Source organism: Homo sapiens, chromosome 8 (assembly GCF_000001405.40).
Source record: "Homo sapiens chromosome 8, GRCh38.p14 Primary Assembly".
NCBI lineage: Eukaryota > Metazoa > Chordata > Mammalia > Primates > Hominidae > Homo > Homo sapiens.
In genome coordinates, this window is record NC_000008.11 from 86,743,803 (window position 1) to 86,760,038 (window position 16,236).

The window sequence follows — 16,236 nt, forward strand, 5'->3', positions numbered from 1 at the left end:
CAGCAAAATACTTCTGCTTGGGTGATTTGCACTCTGTTTATGAACTTTAGGGAGTCAAAATGATCTTGTGAATAATTTAGAAGTAGAGGATTAAACACAGCTTCATAGTTGATTTGAATGGTTTAAATGTGATCACACAACACATTGTTTTCTTTCTTTTTTTTTCCTTCTAATTACCCACCTACTTATCTTTATCTGTCTAACTTTATGCAAAGTAATATGGAAATGATTAAAAAAAATCCATGAGGGCTTATGATATGAAGCAACTCATTCACTCCTCAAAATCCCCTTCTCTGGTCCTGCAATGTTAGGCCACTATTTTTAAGCTTTCTTTTTCTGTTCTTCTGGTGGTTGATTTCCACATGGCTAAACAAAAAAAAATCTGCTTATTCTACTCTGCCTCTGTGTGTGTGTGTGTCACTTTTGACCCCAAACCTGTGTGAGGCAAAGATACAAGACTAAGATTTGTTAAAGAGAACTTTTTTTTCCCCTTTGCCCGGAGCCCAGACAAAGTTGATGTTCTATGCTGTTGGATGAGATTTTTTAGTGCACCAAAGACGCATGATTTTTTTTAAAGGGGTTCTGTTTTTGTTTTTGTTTTTAATGAGAGCACTTATCTTCTGCAGTTTCAAATTAAAACCAAAGCCTTTATGCAACAAGGTACACACCCACACCCAGGGCAGCCTAAGTCAACCCATCAAATACTTCTTGCCCTCTGTATTTTTGCAATCTGGAAATTTCCTTGAGATACTAGTTATGTATTTTAAGATACGTTTATTACAGTTAATACAGAAAAAAGCCTTTAAGTATTTATGAAGAAAGCATTTTAATTTAGATTTCATATTACCAAAATCGCAGTTCCCTTATGGATTTTTAAAATAAATTAGAAGTTTTAATTTTAGATTCAACCATTTTATCAAAAATAAACTTACCTAATAAATAACGTAATTGAATACATGATTTGACTTATATGGCCTGGAAACACAAAGCTATTTATTTTTGTTAAAAAATGGTGGGGGGTGTTTTGGTTCCATTATTGCTTCAGAAATAATTCTGAATAGATTATCAAATATGTATAGGGCCATTTTAGGAACTTTTCAGATAATCCTGTAATCCTGTAATTGATTACATTTTGAACTTTGGGTATAAGCATAGAAGCTAAGCCAAAGGAAGGGAAGGTGTTAACAGCCAGCCTGTGACTAATTTTTTCCCTTCCTAAGACCTGCAGAGGAAAAAATGACCTCACCAGACTTTCGTATAAATCTCATAGTATTTATCAGTGGAAAGATACCAGGGAGTCCCTATTTATGAAACTTTTTTAGCAGGACATTTCTGGTCTGTCTAGATTGCTTATTGTAAATAAGCCTGGAATTTAGCAGGCTGGCTGGAGAATGGAGAGAGAGGTGCTATGTAAGCTCTGTAAGAGAATGTGGAACGAAGATGTCCCCAAACCAAACTGCCTTCTTTTTGTGAGAAATGTTTTTGCAGACAATGCTCAAAAATTACTTGTAAATGCAAAACCAAAATATGCCAACTGCAGGAGAAAAATGGTCTGTTTTGTTTGGATGCTGTGTCTGACAGTTTGGGGTTTTTCCCAAAATGAATGTTTTGTTTATTCCTGATGGCGGCTTGTAGCCAACGAATCATTAATAAAGTTTGGTGCTATGTAAGATCTGTGATTCTGGCTAGTCTGTTTTGACAATTTAACCCTTTAGATTTGTCACAGGTCAGAATAAATGGGATGGAGATATTATTAAATAATTCAAGCACCTTTAAAATGATTTAAAATACCTCCAACAACCTGATTTTTGACAATAGAGTGGCATTAACATGGGCATTAAAATTATAAATGACTACTTTTATTTTGTCTAGATCAGAGGTCTCAAAGTTTGGAAAATGGACAACTAGAAAGAATTCTGGAATGAAGGACATGAATTTTGGATCATTCTTTTTCACTTTAGTAGCTCTGTGGACTAAAGTAAATCTCTTGCCTTAACCTGGAAATAACTAGGTTGGGAAAAAACAATGTTTGTTTTCTTCTGGTTTTAAATTCTGTGATTTGTGGTCTTCCACAGAGGAGCTCTTCTAATCAGCAAGAAGATAAGGGAAGAAGGAGGGTTGCTTATTCTGGGTGAAATGGCTTACTAGAATTTCACCAATAACAATTTAATTTTTTTGTACCAAGTTGCCATATTGCTGAGGTAGTGTATGACAATGGGAATAAAAACAATTTTTCTTCAATATAACGGACTGTTTGTCTAACTGAAGCCCCTCAGCCACTCCTCCTTCTCTACAGCATAAATGTATAAACTCCTTACCAGGACATTCCCGGCCTTATATCATTGACCTTTGCCTAACTCTAGTTTAATCTGTAACCCCGACCTCTCTTTTGGCTCTTGCCATAATCAGTAATTTAAAATAGCTTGAACTTCTCTGCTTTTTCTTGCCTGTACCCATGTCTTTGCTCATGTGTACTGTTCCCCTGCCTGCAACGCTGTTCCACTTCTTGTCTATCTAGCTTAAGCTTGGTGTTTCCTTCTCCTACCGTTCCTCTCTTCTACCATGGACAGCTATACCTATAATCCTGTCTTTTTGTTGCAATTGTATCTGTGCCATACAGAGATCTCTACTTTGTCACTTCTCATTTTACAGCCATGTCCAGGTCTATTTTCTCTATTAGAGCATAAGCTCCTGCAGGCAGAGACTATGCTTTGGCCACCTTCAGATTCCTGTGCCCAGCTCAGTGCTTGACATATTCTAGGTACTCCATGAATGTTTGTTGAATAAATAACAGGAAGAAGATGGTATAGACCATCTCTTAGTTCTAGATTAACAGTGAAGAGATTCTCTGTGGTAGATGCAGTGTGTAAGAGAAGTGGAAAAAATCTCCCTGGAAGAATGCAAATGTTGTAGCCTCATTGTTTTTTATTAGTAGCCATTGCAGGCTGAAGTTGGGATAGGCTGAGAGAAGCATGCATAAAATAATGGTATGTTTTAAAACAAATGGTGTCTTAGATACCGTAGATGGTATACAGATGGCACATAGGAATATAACACGTAAAATACAAATCAGATGGTAATAAAGCTATGCTAAAACAAAAAGATTATCATCATTAGCAAACAGTTCCATATTCTTGTTGTGACTAGTAATTTTATTTTCAGCAGAGCATTAGCCATCTTACAGACAGCATTGTTTTAATCTTATTGATTTTTAAGTTTTATGTTAAATTTTCAAACAAGTTTTAGCTTTATGGTTCTATAAAAATTATAAGCAAATGAAGATTATATCTAGTTTCAGGTTGGAACATATTTAAGTATTATTCTTATGAATTATTCAAATAGGATCTGTAATAAAGTTTTCACTTAATAGGAGTCAGGTTTGGGAAATGCTATCTTTCTTTGAGGGAATCTTTAATGATGGAATTTCAGACATTCCCACTGGGGGCAATTTTGAACGAGGAGGACTTTCTTCTGGTAATTCTCAAATCACAGTCTCCTCTGCTTCTGGACGGGGTCAAGGGTTGAAGACTTGTTTGTTTTTGGCAAATTATTGGAAACAAATTAAGGTTATAAAACCAACTAAGGTTATATTTTCCCCTATGTCTACTAGAAAGAAACATTTAGGCAATTTTCCAAGATCTTTCTGAATTAAGTTCAAGTAGTCTGAATATTATTTCAATAAGAGAAGAGCAACCACCGAGTATAAAGGGAATAGCTGGTTTACAGTAGATAACCTAAAACAGTAATTGAAGGGAAACTCCCAGAAGTTTTCCCCCATCTCAGGTTCAGGGCTGTGTATTTTTAGGAGAAGATAATAACCTGGTAACAAACCTGAACACTGACCAAGTTCTGAAAAATTAACTACGCTGAATATACTTAATAAGGCAGGAAAACAGGTGAGTAAATTATGAGCTTTTTTAAAAAAAATTATAAGACTTTAGAGAAAAAAGTTACTAGCAATGTCTGGTTACCTGCGAACAAGGTTTAGGTGCTCATCTACAAAATGGAAGCTGGAATAACAGGCTAGATTACACAAGCCAAGGAATAAGATGACAGACAAAAATTCCCTGCTGTAAGTTAAATTCTCAACAAATATTTGCCAATCAATTGAATAAAACAAATTGTGTTTTCTGAAGCACTCAAATTTAAAATACTCTGTATATTAAAGCATATAATTCTATTGAGCAGTGAAGATTTGGCTTCTTAGTGTGTGTCAGGTGCTCAGCTAGCTGCTGTGGGGTATACAGAGATGACCAAAATATGGCATCTGCCTGTGCACACTCACCTTTTGGGACGGAAAGATGGAAGGTTTATAGACAATCTCAAGACAGCTTCCATAATGGCAGTGTGCGAGCCATGCCACCTAAGCAGAGAAGAGCAGGTGACCAAGTCTGCCTTTGTGTGAATGGACTGTAAAATGGGGAGTAAAGCTCTGCGGAGGAGCTAATGCTCATGACAGGTTTTGAAAGATGAGAGATATTCCAGGCAGATGTTGAAAGGTCCAGACATCAGAAACAACATCCAGTGAATTAAGGTATTACAATAGTTAGCAGTTTATGTGGCCAGCACAGTGCCCTTAATATAGTAGATACATAACAAAGACTTGTTAAACTACTGTTGAGTATTAACAATAAACATGAAACATATACAATTTTCTTTATATATACTATGTAGACCATATCAGTCTCAAAAGAAACTGATGGCATTGATTTTATGTTCTTTTAATTATTGTAGGATTAGCAAAACGTTAACTTTGCATTCAAAAAATAAATATTCAAAGAACATTTCTGAGTATATTTATTTTTCTTGATGATATTGACTAATGATCTTATGAAGTGGAATTATAGCAACTGATACTTAGAGGAAGTTTTCCCTCATAAAATATGTATAGAATTATTTAGAAATATTTGCCAGTGTGATTTTATGTGATGACAAATTTAGAGTATTTAGATTTTTTTCAGTCATCTGCAGGTATAATATGACTAGATAATGCAACTTAAAAATTTCTGAAACCAAAGTGATTTTAAATATAGTATTTCAATAGGTAGAAATGCTGTTTCTCTGATTATAATATTTGCATTGCTTTTAACTTAAAATTCATGAGCAATGAATGTAACAGATATTAACGGTAAAAATGTCTTCAGGAAATTGTTAATAACTAGTGGCATCTGTGACTAATGAATGCTATATTGGTTTAGTCTGTGACTAATAGAATAAATGTTTTGAAAAAAATCCTTATGTTAGAATTTTATAAACAGTAATCAGGTCGTGATGAATTTGTTCCGTGAATATGGATGGGGTAACTATGAAGTTTCCTCATTCTTTTACATTTTTTTTTAACAAAGTTGATTAGCCAGTTTCAGTACTTGGTTCCAATTATGGACTATCATTGCTTATTTATTTATTTTTTATCATTTAGTGAACTAACTGAAAGCACTTCAGCTAATTGAACATCATGGTCTACTGTTATGTAAGGAGATTAATTGTGCCATTTGCAAAGAAGATTGTCTATATGCAATTAGCTTTCTAGCTAAGCTGCTTTTAACTGCATTTTTTTCTGTGTTCTAAATTTATCAATGATCTGAATCTAATGTTGTGGGAATTTCTGAGCTATACCAGAATATTCTTAGTTCTAACAAAAAAATACATCCATCTGTTATTGAAAGTGGTTGTTGGTTTATGAATAATATCTGTTGGTTACCTTAGTAATAAAAGCCACTATATGTTAATATATGTTAATCCTTGACCCAACACAAAGATATTATTCCTTTTCGACAATTTGAAATTTCAAATTTAACAATGGTAAAACTTTATTGGTGCCTTAAATTTGAGAGATGAATATAATATTTAGCAATTTAAAGATTTTGAGAGTGATTATTAGTTCTTTATTTAGAAGTCAGAATCTATTTTATCGTTGGGTTTCAGCCTTATGGTTCCTACTGGAAATTTAATTCAGAATGTCTTGTAATCACTTTACAATCAACTCATTTAAAAATAAATTCATCTTCCTTACTACCAATCTAGCAGCTTCTTCTGACTTTCCTTTTGTTCATGACATGATCATTCCTTTAATTCTCTCCCTTATCTTTATTATATGAATTTGGTACTTGTTTCTTTGATTCTTCCTTTGCAAAACTTCAGCTCCTTATCCCTTCTTCTTTATACCCATTTTCACCACCATATTTAAACACCTAGAGAAAGCTGCACTATTGTAATAACTTCTGGGTTGGCCAGAGGAAGCCTGAGAAATGCATATGGAATCCAGATGGCTAGCCCATATGTGTGGGCAGAGGTAGAAGCCCACCCCTGAGAGGCAATGAGGAATCCAGCAGAGCACTTGTTTGAGCAATGTTGTCCGTATTTTTCTGTAATGGCGAGGAAGTCACTGGTTTCATTGAGTACAAGTTCTGAAACTGATGTATAAATGTCTCTCAGGTTGAATCTACTGATGCACTTGTTAGAAATAAAAAAAAATTGCAAGCATGCCTCAGAGATACTTCAGGTTCAGTTCCAGACCACCACAATAAGGAAAACATGGCAAAAAAGTGAGTCACATGAATTTTTTAGTCCCAGTGCATATCAAAGTTATGTTTACACTATACTATGGTCTAGTTAGTGTGCAATGGCATTACGTCTAAAAAACCAGTGTACATATTTTAGTTAAAAAAATACTTCGTTGACCCCGTCTCTACTAAAAATACAAAAAATTAGCCGGGCATGGTGGCATGGGCCTGTAGTCCCAGCTACTCCGGAGGCTGAGGCAGGAGAATCGCTTGAACCTGGGAGGCGGAGGTTGCAGTGAGCAGAGATCGCCCCACCGCACTCCGAGGTCGCCCCACTGCACTCCAAGATCGCGCCACCGCACTCCAGCCTGGGCGACAGAACGAGACTCCGTCTCAAAACAAAACAAAACAACAACAACAACTGTTGATAAAAAAAGTTAGCATTCACTGAGCCTTCTGCAAGTCATAATCTTTTTGCTGTTAAAGAGTCTTGCTGGTAGAGAGCAGCCTTAATGTTGATGGCTGCTGACTGACCAGGGCAGCTGTTGCTGAAGGTTGGGGGGATGTGGCAATTTCTTAAAATAAGATAGCAATGGAGTTTTCCTCATCAACTGACTCTTCCTTCCACAAAAGATTTTTCTGTAGCATGCAATGCTGTTTGATAGCATTTTACTTCATATTAGAACTTCTTTCAAAATTGGAGTCAATCATTTCACACCTTGCTGCTGCTTTATCAAATAAATTTGTATCATATTCTTAACCCTCTGTTGTCATTTCAACAATATCCACAGCATCTTCACCAGGAGTAGTTTCCATCTCAAGTAACCATTATTATTATTATTATTTTCTCATCTATAAGAAGCAACTCCTTATCTGTTCAAATGTTATCATGAGATTGCAGCAATTCAGTCACATCTTCAGGCTCCACTTCTAATTCTAGTTCTCTTGCTAATTCCACCCCATCTGCTGTTATTTCCTCCACTGAGTCTTGAATTTCTCAGTCATCCGTGAGGGTTGCGATCAACTTCTTTCAAATTCCTATTATGTTGATATTTTGACCTCTCTTGTTCTTATTGGCATTCAGAATGGTGAATCCTTTCCAGAAGATTTCCAATTTACTTTGCTTAGATCCATCAGAGGAGTCACTATCTATGGCAGCTATAGCCTTATAAATGTATTTCTTAAATAATAAGACTTGAATGTTGAAATTATTCCTTGATCTACGCATGGACTACAGAATGGCTGCTGTGTTAGGAGGCATGAAAACAACATTCATGTCCTTGTACAGCTCTATTAGAGCTCTTAAGTGACCAGGTGCATTGTCAATGAGCAGTAATATTTTGAAAGGGATCTCTTTTTTTTTTTTTTCTGGTCAGTAGGTCTCAAGGTAGGCTTCAAATATTTAGGAAACCATGCTGTAAACAGATGTGCTGTCATCCAGGCTTTGTTGTTCCATTTGTAGATCACAGGCAGAGTAGAATTAACATAATTCTTAAGGGCCCTAGGATTTTTGGAGTGGGGAATGGGCACTGGCCTCAACATAAAGTTACCAGCAGCATTAGCCCTTAACAAGAGAGTCAGCCAGTTCTTTGAAACTTTGAGGCCAGGCATTGATTTCTCCTCTTTATCTATGAAAGTCCTAGATGGCATCTTCTTCCAATAGAAGGCTGTTTTGTCACCACTGAAAATCTATTGTTTAGTGTGACCAATTTCATCAGTGATCTCGGCTAGATCTTCTGGATAACAAGATGCAGATTCTACATCAGCAGTTACGGCTACACCTTGCATTTTTATGGTATGGAGATGGCTTTTTTTCCTTAAACCACATGAGCCAAGTTCTGCTAGCTTCAAACTTTTCTTCTGAAGCTTCCTCACCTCTCAGCCTTCATTGCATTGAGGAGAGTTAGGGCTTTAATCTGTATTAGACTTTGGTTTAAGGGAATGCTGGGACTGGTTTGACGTATTCAGACCACTGAAACTTTTTTCATATCAGGAGTAAGGCTGTTTTGCTTTCTTATCATTTGTGTGTTCATTAGAGTGGCACTTTTAATTTCCTTCCATAATTTTTCTTTTGCATTCAGAACTTGGCAAACTGATGCAAGAGGCCTAGATTTCCTCCTTTCTTGGCTTTTTGTATGCCTTCCTTACAGAGCTTAATCATGTCTAGCTTTTGATTTTAAGTGAGAGACATGTGACTTTGCATTCACTTGAATACTTAGAGGCCATCACAGGGTTATGAATTCACCAATATTGTTGCGTCTCAGGGAATAGGGAGGCGTGAGGAAAGGGAGAGAGATGGGAAATGGCAGGTTGGTGGAGCAGTCAGAATACATACATTCATCAATTAAGTTCACCGTCTTATATGGGCATAGTTTGTGGCAGCCCAAAATAATTACATTAGTTACATCGAAGATCACTTATCATGATTACCATCGCAAATATAATAGTAATGAAAGTTTGAAATATTGAATTACCAAAATGTGACGCAGAGACACAAAGTTAGCACATGCTGTTGGAAAAACAGTGCCCATAGACTTGCTCAACACATCTTCAATTTATACACGATATCTGTGAAGCACAATAAAATGAAGTATGCCTATCATTTGAAATTTACAAGAAAGTTGCAAGAACACTACAAAGAAATCAGTATCTGCTTCATCAGGATTTTCTAGTTTGATAACATTTTACATTTTACTGTGTTTGTGTACTCCCTCTCACTCTCTTTTTGTATAGCAATTATCATCAATCTTTTCCTGAACCATCTGAGAGCAGGTTGCAAACATGATGTCCCATCACTCTCAAGTATTCCAGTGTGATATAATCATCATTCAACCCCCAAGTCAGGAAATCAACATTGATATAACACTACCATGCAATCCACAGACTTTGTTTAGATTTTGCCAACTGTCTCAAAAATGTTCCCTTTTCGTTTCTGATCTAGGATCCAATATAAGATAAGTTCTTCTGTTCCTTGGTATCCACAGGGGACTGGTTCCAGGACCCCTGCAGATACTAAAATCATGAATGCTCAAGCTTCTTATATAAAATGCTGTATTATTTGCATATAACCTATGTACATTCTTTCATATACTTTAAATCATCTTTAGAATACTTATAATACCCAATACAATGTAAATGCTATGTAAGTAGTTGTTATACTGCATTTTCAAATGTATTATTTTTATTTTTGTATTGTTACTTTTTATCTTTTAGAATATTTTCGCTCCGTGGTTGGTTGAATCTGCAGATACAGAACTCATGGATATAGAAGTATTGTATCTCAAATGAAATACAGTACTGACTCTATTTTATTTGCCTGCCATGCCTCTTCAGTGTCTTTCAATCTGGAATGGATCCTCTGTCTTTTCCTGTCTTTCATGACAGTTTAAAAAAGTACCAGCCTTTCTTTCTATAGGACGACATCATCTATTTTATATATTGTGTCAAATTAATATTTCTAAAAAGGTGAATTACGTTTTTGAAATAGTCTCAGGTAGGTCCCATACTGGCTCTCTAATACCTACAGTTTAGTTTGGAGGTCAATAAGTTTCCAAACATTGCTTCTGTTACTCCTATGACATTTATTATGTATTGCCACATATTATTCTTGTGTTTTTTGATTTGTGGATGCATTAATTCAGTATTAAATGATTCAGTAAACATAATCATCAATTATATTGAAGGCCAGACACATTACATGTGTTATTTCACTTAATACCTTCTCAGATTTTATTATTACCCTCAATATTCAGATATAAAAATTAAAACTTAAAGGAATTAAGTAATTCGCCCAAAGTTACACAGCGAATAAACAGCAAAGCTGGAACTCTAATGTCAAAGCTCTATTGCTTTTGAAAACCTATTTATTGAGCATCAGAGATATAAAGATTGAGACACCCTGTTTTTCTTTTTTTTTAACTTTTAAAATATAATGGAATTTATAATAACTTTTCTCCTGGGCTTTCTGTAAATACAGGGAGAAATCAGAATTATATACAGAAATTTACAAATTCACTTTTTCTTTACTTCTCCAAATTGATTATGTTGGGTAATACTTTTCTTTTTTTAAAAATTTTACTTTAAGTTCCAGGATGCATGTGCAGAACGTGCAGGTTTGTTACATAGGTATACATGTGCCATGGTGGTTTGCTGCACCTATCAACACTTCATCTAGGTTTTAAGCCCCGCATGCATTAGGTATTTGTCCTAATGCTCTCCCTCCCCTTTCCCCCCACCCCCACAACAGACCCCAGTGTGTGATGTTCCCCTCCCTGTGTCCATGTGTTCTCATTGTTCAACTCCCACTTATGAGTGAGAACATGTGGTGTTTGGTTTTCTGTTCCTGTGTTAGTTAGCTGAGGATGATGATTTCCAGCTTCATCCATGTCCCTACAAAGGAAATGAACTCATTCTTTTTTATAGCTGCCTAGTATTCCATGGAGACACCCTGTTTTTCAAGAGCTCACAGTTTAGTGGAGGGTATAGGCATGCTGATGAACAATATAAGCATCAAGGTGGGGGGAATATCATCCATCCATTTTCAGTCATTGCAGTCAGTGCCTTTTAATATGTAGGCAAATGATATGTCCTGTTAAATAAATAAGTATATTAATGAAAAGGAGTTTAAAAGCATCCAAATTAGTTACCTAATTATACCTAATATTTGCAAATGTGTTTTAACCTGAAGCATACTTTAATCTGAATATTCAGTGAAAATAGCCTGCATTTGAAACTATGTATAATTCTAAAACAATTGACACTTTTCCTATTGGTTGTAGATTAAACCTACATAAGGACACAAATGCAGAGAATTTTATGGTTATAGTAAACCTTTATAACAAATTTTTAAGTGACTCTTCTTGTGGGTCCTATAATACCTGAGCTCAATTACTGCAATTAATTTATAAGATATTTTCTAATTTATTCACCTCATACTTTTTGTAGGGTATAACCAATTATGTAATTCAATTGATGCAAAGTTTCTGTTATGTCTATTTGTGATTTTACAGGATACTTGTAACTAAAGGGTTTATGACTATCAACTCATTCATCCCTTGGTCTCTAGGCAGTGTCCCAGAAGGAAACATGTTTATATTATTATGGAAATCTCTAACAATGAGCTCACTTTCTCTTCTTAGCATTTTAATACATACTATATTTTTTATTTGGATTAAAGTTGAAACATAATTTCAACTTTGTGGAACTTTATGAGTCACTAGAAGGAGAAACTTGACCTAGCAGGGAAAATAGAGGACTTGATATTGGAGAATGTTTCCTAAAGAGCCAGTTTAAGCACTGATTAACTGTAAATTTTGGCGACTCACAACTTATATAAACTGTAGTCTTTTCCCCTACATAAAGGAGATAGGCGTGTCTCCTTTATAGTATACCCCTTCTGTAATTAAATCTCTTGATACTTAATCAAATGCTATGTTTGTGATACTGATCTACAACTTTGAAAATGCTTGATAATAGAATTTTCATCATAATTATGAATAATAGGTTAAAAAGAAAAATTAGCACATATTGAACACCTTATAGCAGGAACACTAAAAATAGGTTATTCTGGTCCATTTGCATGTATATAACTAACTGATTAACAAGGTTTTCTTGTTAAACTTCTTTGTTATGATACATCAGGATATTATTTTAAAATCATTTTCATCAAGCATTTGCTTAGTATTTATTATAGAGGAGCTCAAGCTTATTCTACAAACACATATTGAAACCATGAGATATCACTAACTACCCACCAGAATTGCTATACAAATGGGAATGTAAGTCTTACGGCCACTTTTGGAGACTGGCAGTTTCTAATACAGTAAAACACGTGTCTGTTCCGTTGCTTAGCAATTCTACTCCTAGAAACACACCCAAGAGAAATGAATGCTTAGGTCCACATAAAGACTTGTATGGTAATGTTCAGAGCAGATTTTGTAAATAATTAGTTCCAAAATGGAAATAATACAAATGTTCATCATCATGAAAATAGTTAAAATTGTGGTCTGTTTATACAAAGAAATATCTTGAAACAATCAAAAGGAACAGACAACTGATATATGCAACAGCAGGAAAACATCTTTAAGACATTTTGTTGTGAGAAAGAAGCCAGACACAAAACAATATATTCTTAATGATTTCATTTATATGAAGTAAAAGAATAGATAAAGCTCATCTTTGCTGATAAAAATGAGAATACAGGTTGCCTTTACGTGATGGGGTGGAGTTGAGGCTATGGGGGGAACATTGAGATGAAAGAAGCAAGAATGAACTTTCTGGGGTGGTGGAAATATTCTATATCTTGATCTGAGTGATGATAAAATGGATGTATTATATATGTCAAAATAGTGAAGTCTACATTTAAGTTTTATGCATTTTATTGCATATTAATTACGATTCAATAAAGTACTGTGAGCACTAAAGTATTTATTTTAATTGCTTTCTACTGCTAGACATTAATCTGTGTCTGGATTAATCAGATAGAGTCCTGGACTTGAGAAGTTCACATCCCATTGGAGGTGGGGAGTGAAAGGGTAGGTATAGATACATAATTATATTAAAACTATAAGGGAGGTATGTATACTGCACATGGCTAGCACAAAATATGGCACAAGTTATTTATTTGTTGCATGGTGTTTTCAGAAGGCTTCCAGAAGCTGATTCTTGAGCACTGAGTAGAAACTTGGGTGGAAGTTTCATATTGGCAAGGGAAGTAGAGAGAAACTCAGTTGCATGGGGCTACTGAGGGGAGCATTGCAGGCAAGAGAAAGATGACTATAAATTGTAAGAGACTGAGCTGAATTTGTATAAATCTTAGTTTATCCTCCAGAATTTGTTTTTTTGTGGAGTAAATTTCCTTTGTTTTCTCTTTGGTCAAATTAAGGGAAACAGCTCAAATCTCTGAGTTGGTTATTTATTGCTTTATTTTAAAAAATCACCTTAACAGTTAGTACCTCAAAAGCACAATCATTTAATTTATCTAACAATTCTGTGGACCAGCTTGGCTAATCTCTGGGTTCTCTTGTGCATTCGTGGCCATCAGGCAGGTCAGCTGGGACTGGCAGCTGGTCAATTTAGGGCAGCACTACTCACAGACGAGTGGTTGTCAGGCTTTTGACCTGGCTTCCTGATTCTCTTTCATGTGGCCTGGCACTCTCCAGCTGGCTTGGGTTCTTTTACATGGTGGGCTCAGGGTATCATGTGCAGCAAGAAATCAGGCCTCTATATCCGAGTTCTTTTCATGTATTTTACAGCACTTTTGTTAATATTCCATTTTGTCAAAGCAAGTCATATGCTCAAACCATGTTCAAAATTAGAAAGGTAGACTCTGTCTTTTGGAGGGAAGGGAAACATTTAATAGAATTTTTTTGGTAACCTATATAAAAATTTCCATTCAAGGATTTACTTTATATATTTACTTTCCTAAAAGTGTTTTTTGTTTTTTGTTTTTTGTTTTCTGAAAACACTTTTTAATAGGAACTTCTAGGCAAGGTAATTTGTAAAGAGGTAGCTAAGTAATAGCATCAAGCTGTGCTGTAGAATTTGTAACGGTTTCAGCTTAAAAAAAGAGAAGACTAGCTGGATTGAGTAAGTTTTCAGAAAATTTTTGCAAACTGGAGATAAACCTATTTTAGGCATATTAGAAACTTTTTCCATTCTTATGTTAATTAAGGTTCTTTTTATTTCAGATAAGATAATCCCAGTTCAAATTAGATTAACCAAAAAGGGGAATTTATTAAAGGGATATTGGAGTGACTCATGGATCCCAGGGAGAGTGTTATGTTGCTGTTGGGTGACTTACAGGCTTCTGTCTTCTCTAATTCTCATCTGGTAAATTTTTTTTTTATTTTGCTTCTCAATCTACATGACAGAAATGGCTGCCAACAATACCTAGCAGATAACATGTGTATAATTCAGATTCCTAGAGGGAGAAAATGTAACATGAAAACTATAAAACGATGTTACAAGACTATACCTGTATCCCAGTCAATTGGAGCTTTATTTTATTATGGTTGAATCAATATTTGACAAATTCTTTATACATAGTAAATAATACTGCATTTAATTTTAGCTATAAACCAAGAGCCACAAATTTCAAACAATATGGAAATATACTGTAGATACTGAAAGGTCTCCAGGTTCTACTCTCTTTCCACCTTCATCCTCACCCCATCAATAGTTTGGCACATATTTTCTCAATTCATATATATATATGTATGTATCTATATATATGTGGGAGAAAGAGAGGGAATAATAATAATAATAAGCAATATTAGAAGAAACATAAGAGATATCATTGGCTAAGGTTTGACAAATGTCTAGGCAATTTTTCTATATTAGCACTGATTCTTACAAAACAACCCATGAAGGCAGTTATTATTGTCTTTATTTTGCCTATAATAAAACAGACTAGGAATGAGCGAATAACTTATTTAAAATCACAGCAAAGGAAGAGAGCCAGGACTTTAACTTAGGTCTGTCTGATTCAAAACTTGTGCCCTTTCCACAATAATAAGAGTAATAGTCATCATTAATGAACCCTTACTACGTACCCAAACTTTAAAAGATTTTTTTTTTTTTTTTTTTTTTACAAAACTCAATGAGATAACAATAATTATTACTCTTTTAAAGAGGAGGTGAGGTTTGCTAATGACAGAGCCATGATTCATACCCAGGACTTTAAGTCTCCAAAGCTTCTGCTTTTTTCTCTACATTCTTACACTGTAGTATTTTAGTAAAGTAGCATTCTGTATCTCAACACATTATTATGCATTGCATATTCTTTAAGAAATTGTTTGAATAGTCATTCAGTGGGTGTCCACTCCTGTGCTCACTCTAATAGATGGATGGTGCTTAAGAAGGATTCTTGGGACTCTGGCTTAGAGCATTGAGATGTGATAGACCAGTGACATCTGTCCTGTGTATGGAAGGAGAGGAGTTGTGGCCTCAGTCTCCAGATTTGCCATCCCTGCATGATTACCTCAAGATGACATAAGATTACTAGTTATTAATTAATTATACTTCTACAATGATTGTTTTTTATTCAAATGACCTAATAAAAGAAAACTTAAAACTCTAGTTATAATAAAAGAAGGAACCATCTACTAAGACAAAGGAAGAGAGCCAGGATTTGAATTTAACCATATAATAATTCTCAGATAGAATTCCATATATAGCCATTTTTAATATTATATATACTAAAGACAAAAATAATTCAGTATAATCAGACCAACAGCTTTATTCATGCAGCCTGCTTCATTTCATTGTAGTGTTATGCTTTATAGAAAGATAGAAAATTATCACCTTCTTCTCTAATAATTTTCTGCTCCTCAGTCTGATTTGTGTGCTGCCACATTATCTTAACTGTTTGTATGTCTTTAAGTTAGGAATTAATTTATAGTTAAAAGACTAACTTTAATCAGTATTTCAATTGGGTAGAATATTTGATCTTGCTTTAATTTGGTTTGATCTTGTTTTAATTTGGTACTTTGGCTTTGTGAGTGTAGATAGGTCTGGAAAATAGAAGGAAGTTGGCATGAATACATGAGAGGAATGACAGTCCAGTATTAAAGGCCAGGTAATTGCCTTCACACAGTCCTCTCCTTGGTGCCTAGAGTGAATTGCTTTAGTTGTACTATGAATTTCAATAATTGCTTCAAGCAAAACAAGGGGAAGGTAAGCATGTTTTCCACTTGGCTACTTTGTGCAAAATAACTGGCAGAGATTGCTAGAA